This window comes from Homo sapiens, chromosome 2 (assembly GCF_000001405.40).
Source record: "Homo sapiens chromosome 2, GRCh38.p14 Primary Assembly".
Taxonomy (NCBI): Eukaryota; Metazoa; Chordata; class Mammalia; order Primates; family Hominidae; genus Homo; species Homo sapiens.
In genome coordinates this window covers 64,706,507-64,712,506 of record NC_000002.12, presented here as the reverse complement: position 1 = coordinate 64,712,506, position 6,000 = coordinate 64,706,507, and positions in this window count along the sequence as shown.

The window sequence follows — 6,000 nt, the reverse complement described above, 5'->3', positions numbered from 1 at the left end:
CCTATTAACACTAGCTCCCATAAGGCTGTGAGTAATTCTTTATATCCCCTATAGCACCTAGCAATCACTTCATATGGAGAAGACACTGTTAACTCTGTAGACCTTATCATTTGAGAGAGATGCTGGATTCATTTCCCAAAAAGTATGCTGTTTTTAAGGGGTCGTTTCTGAGCTACTTGTCTTCTCCGACCTCTTCTTTATTCTCTCTGCATCATGAGAGTGTCAGTTACCTTCCCTTTTCATGCTGTTACCCTTACTTTTGTGGATTTCACACTTAGTCCTTAAAAGACTGTTTTATTCCGGCTTTCTCCAAAGGAGAAATTTAGGTGTACATCTTCCTGTATTTTATTACTCATATTCTGAAAATTTGGAGATTTAATCAGGATTCCTATCTTCCTGAGTCGTCTAAAATTCTGCATTACAGTTGCGATTATTTTCCTTTGATATTACAATTTTGATTTATGTTTTTTATAACACTTGTATTTTTCCTTAGTACCACATCAATATATATTCATTGTGGAAAACTATGTAAAAATGCAGAAAAGAATACATTAAAAAATCAAAACTCCTGCATTTTACTCCTTACTGATACTCACTTTTAACATTTTGATAAATGTCCTTCTTGTTTTTTCAATGAACACACACACCTTTCATAAAATTAGGATCTAACTGTACATACTATATCTTAATTTTCTTTTATTTTGTGATTTACAAATATTGTTCTTTGACTTATTTAACAAATAATGGAAATGAATGAAAAGGAGATTTTGTATACATTGCTAGCTACCAACAATAGGCATTTATTACTAATGCGTTTCTTAGGACCTAGACAGCTTTTTGTCTGGGATCCATTAAAAAGCCTGTCTTAGCAGTAAGAGTGACTAAAAGAAAATTAGCTCAACAGGGAATTTTGAGGAGGTTCCCACTGTCAACGGCAGGCGCTGGCCTTCACTCTGCCATTTGAGTCCTGCTACTGAAAACAAAGCTGGCTTTGGGCTGCGCACTACTGTATGTGGTATTTGATTCTATATGCCTTGGTTTTCCACATACCTTGCCAAATTGGTTTCCTGACCATGACCTTGTAGTTCAGCATTTCCTCTTCCCTCCACCCGTTTCCTGCCTTTACGTTTGATCGTCAGAATCTTTTTTTCACATGAATCCCATGGTAGTAATGTAGTAGTCATATCTAAAGTCAGGAGACCCCACCCTTGGTCTCCTGAAATTCTTTTGGAAAAGTACACTTTACATGTCTGTACTCCATAACTGTAATATGAAACCACCACACAATATAAAAATGTATTTTCTGTCTTTTTTTTTTATTTTAATTTTTGAGACAGAATATCGCTGTGTGTCCCAGGCCAGAATGCAGTGGCGTGATGTTGGCCCACTGCAAGCTCCATCTACCAGGTTCAAGCGAGTCTCCTGCCTCAGCCTCCTGGGTAGCTGGGATTACAGGCTCCCGCCACCATGCCTGGCTAAGTTTTATATTTTTAGCAGAGAAGGGGTTTTGCCATGTTGGCCAGGCTGGTCTCAAACTCCTAACCTTAGGTGATCCTCCTGCCTCAACTTCTCAAAGTGCTGGGATTACAGGTGTGAGCCACTGCGCCTGGCCTCTATTTTTAATAGAAGATTTTAGAATAGAGAAACATTTTTTCTTCATTAATCCTGGCATGACATTGCCTTAAGGAGTATTTTCACCTCTTACCTGTATGCGTGTGACTCCTACATCTTGTCCAGCCCACACCTCTCCCCTCTGCTTCAGTTCTCTATTTCTGTATACTTTCATGACATCTTCAGCTAAATATAATATTGTCATTTTAACCCAGTCTTTCTTAAATGGACTTCATTATTTTGCCTACAAACCTGCTTCAACTGTTGTCTTCTTCTTTCCTGTGGAACCAAATACTCTTTCAGTCTCCTGGAGTACTGATAAAACAGTAAGGTGGCCAGATACAAAGTAACTATACAGAAGTCAACACCTCTCCGGTACGTCACCAGTGATGAATTTAAAGAAATAAAACTCCAATCACCATAGCAATTAAAATTATAAAATACCCAAGAAAAAAATTAATAATTCTGTAAGACACATATTGCAAAAAATATTTATTGAAGAATTAAATTCATGGAGAAACATATTCCTAGAAGAGAAAATGTTAGTTTTCCCTGAAGGGATCTGTAGATTCAGTGTAATTCCAACCAAAAGTCCCAGTGGAATTTTAATTTGATAAACTTAGTCTGAGGTTCCTCATAATTTGAATGAAGAAGATTGAGAGGAATAGTCCTACCAGGTATAAAAGTATATCTTAAATTTAAACATTATGGCATTAGCACAAGAAGAGACAAACAGATCACTGAAACAGAATAGAATCCAGGAAAAAAAAAAGGACTTAGAACGAAATTTTTTTCTTTTTTTTTCTCTTTTTCTTCTTATAAACCCTGCTCTAGAAAGAACCAAATTTAACATATGATAAATACAGCATTTAAAATCAGAGGGAGGCTGGGTGCCGTGGCTCACGCTTATAATCCCAGCACTTTGGGAGGCCGAGGCAGGTGGGTTACCTGAGGTCAGGAGTTCGAGACCAGCCTGACCAACATGGTGAAAACCCATCTCTACTAAAAATACAAAATTAGCCAGGTGTGGTGGCGCATGCCTGTAATCCCAGCTACTCAGGAGGCTGAGGCAGGAGAATTGCTTGAACCTGGGAGGTGGAGGTTGCAGTGAGCCGAGATCGTGGCATTGCAATCCAACCTAGGCAACAAGAGCAAAACTCCGTCTCAAAAAAATTAAATAAAATAAAGTAAAATAAAACAAAATAATAAAATAAAATCAGAGCGAACAGGAGGGACAGTTGAGTAAATTGGAGAGGACAAAAAGAATATTGCAAAGGCCTTCGGGTGAGAGAGCATATGTGGTGCATCTCTTGGACCAAGAAATTCCTGGGATCTGAGAGCAGGAGTAGGGGCAGTGGAGAGAGAGGATGTTAAAGAGCAGGCAAGGCTAACACCGTATGTGTTCTTCCGAAGAGTTTGGACTTTTATTAAGTGTCTTATTCATCCCCAGCAGCTGAGTGACATGATCAGATCCACATTTGTAGAGGGATTGCGCTGGCTAGCTGGAGTTCTGTTCCAGTGAAATTCAAGCAAGAGAGCATCTCCGCCTGAACTGAAATGAAGCAGTTGGGGTGGTTGGGGTGGAATGGGCAGACCTTGGTGCTTGCAATGTGGTGGGCTTGGAAAGAGGAGGAGAGAAGGATTGTGCCCCAGTTTCTGAGTTGGGAGACTGGATGGATGATGATGATGACTTTCAGTGAGAGAGAAATTGGACCAGGTTTCAGGAGAGGCATGGAGAAGAGAATGAGTTCTGTTTTGGACATGTTGAATTTAAAATACCCATAAGACATCTCAGAAGAGAAGTAGAGTTAGGCATTTGACGTTGTAAATCTGAATGTCATCAAAGATCTGGCTGGAGATAAACTTAAGAGGCATCAGGACATAGCTCACAGTTGACATCATGGGAGCAGATGAGAGTGTACAGGAAGAGCATATAAGCGAACAAGTGAGGACAGCATCGTGAGGAATACCTGAGGGAGAGGGGCCTCCAAAAGAGACTGAGAAGGGGAAAAAGTGGATGGAGACAGCTTGTTAGGAATTTTCACTGCAAAGAAAAGAAAGATGGTGGTATTTAGGAGAATATGTGGAGTTGAACAGTTTTCTGAGTTTCTTTTTTGAAAATGGGGAAGGACATCGACATGTTTAGATATTGATGGGAAGGATCCAGAAGAGAGAAGGGAAATAATTGATAGATCCTGATCTCCAGTGAGGCTGAAAACAAAAGCCCCAGATGGGTTGGGTGCAGAGAAAGTGCATGTGTAGGTGACTGCATTGGGTTGGGATCAAGTTAAGAGAGGCTAATGGCTTCTATTTTCTCTGTGAAGTAGGAGCAGAGTTTTCTGCTGCAAACAAAGCAGCAGAATGAGGAGAATGAGGAGTCTGAGGAAAATGCAGAAAGTTTGAAATAGCTACTGTGGAAAAGGGAGAGAGAGGCAATTAACACAGTACGATAATTTTGGACATATGGAATTTGAATTCCAGAGAGATAACATCTATGTGAGGTGAGGGTTTGGAGCTGAGGCTTGAGTTTAAGATTAGATATGGAGATTTGGGACTGTTAGAAAATTTAAGTTAATGGTTGAATAGAAAATGAACAATTGGCAGGGCAAAGGGAATCAGAGAAAGAAACTCCAGATAAGGAGCAACAGTAGGAGAAAGCTGAAGGGGAACAGCAGGAGAAATAGAAATACCCGGCAAATATGATATCATGGCAACCAAGATAAGGTCATTATCCTTAGCAAACTAACACAGGAACAGAAAACCAAATACTGCATGTTCTCACTTATAAGTGGGAGCTAAATAATGAGAAGACATGAACAGAAAGAGGAGAACAGGAGACACTGGGGCCTACTTAAGGGAGGATGTTGGGAGGAGAGAAAGGTTCAAGTAGAAGGGGTGAGTTAATGAGTGGGGTCACTTTTGTAAAGTAGTGATTCTTGACCTTGGCTCATGTTGGAATCACTTGGGGATCTTTAAGCAAATACCCATGCCTCTGCCAATCCAAGACCAATTAAATTGGAATCTGTGGGTGGGGCCCTGGCATCACTATTTTTCTTTGTACTGCAAACTTCTTTTTAAAAAATATTTTAACTTTTATTTTAGGTTCAGGGGTACATGTGCAGGTTTGTAATATAGGTAAACTTGTGACTTGGGGGCTTAGTATACATGTTATTTCATCACTCCAGTACTAAGCATAGTACCCAATAGGTTTTTATTTTTTTCTGAACCTCTTCTCCTCCAAACCTGCTCCCTCAAGTAGGCCCCAGTGTCTCTTGTTCTCCTATTTCTGTCCATGTCTTCTCATTATTTAGTTCCCACTTATAAGTGAGAACATGCAGTATTTGGTTTTCTGTTCCTGTGTTCGTTTGCTAAGGATAATGACCTCCATGGAACTGGAGGCCATTTTTTTTAATGACTGCATGGTATTTCTTTTTTATGGCTGCATGGTATTCCATCATGTATATATAGCACATTTTCTTTATCCAGTCTACTGTGCATGGGCATTTAGTTTGATTTCATTTCTTTGATATTGTGGATAGTGCTGCAGTGAGCATACGCATGCATGTGTCTTTATGGTAAAATGATTTATATTCCTTTGGGTATATACCCATTAGTGGGATTGCTGGGTCAAATGGTAGTTCTGTTTTTAGTTCTTTGAGGAATCTCCACACTGCTTTCCACAATGACTGAACTAATTTACACTCCCACCAGCAGTGTATAAGCATTCCCCTTTCTCTGTAACCTCACCAGCATCTGCTTTTTCGTTTGTTTTTACTTTTTTATAATAGCCATTCTGACTGGTGTGAGATGATATCTCATCGTGGTTTTGATTTGCATTTCTCTAATGACTAGTGATATTGAGCATTTTTTCATATGCTTGTTGGAACATGTATGTCTTTTGAAAAGTGTCTGTTCATGTTATTTGCCCACTTTTTAATGGGTTTTTTTTTTGCTTGTACGTTCCCTTAAGTTCCTTGTAGATTCTGGGTATCAGACCTTTGTCAGATGTATCATTTGCAAATATTATCTCCCATTCTGTAGGTTGCTTCTACTCTGTTGATAGTTTATTTTGCTGTGCAGGAGTTCTTTAGTTTAATTAGGTCCCATTTATTGACTTTTGCTTTCATTGCAATTGCTTTTGGCATTTTCATCATGAATTCTTTGCCAGTTCCTATGTCCAAAATGGTATATCCCAAGTTATCTTCCAGGGCTTTTATAGTTTCAGGTGTTACATATAGGTCTTTAATCCATCTTGAGTTGATTTTTTTGTACTACAAACTTGTAATTCGTAGCCAGGGTTGAGAATCCCTGCCAGAAAGAGCGGGGGGGGTGGAGAGAGAGAGAGAGAGAGAGAGAGAGTCCCCGATGAAGACCAAGGAGTGATTGGAT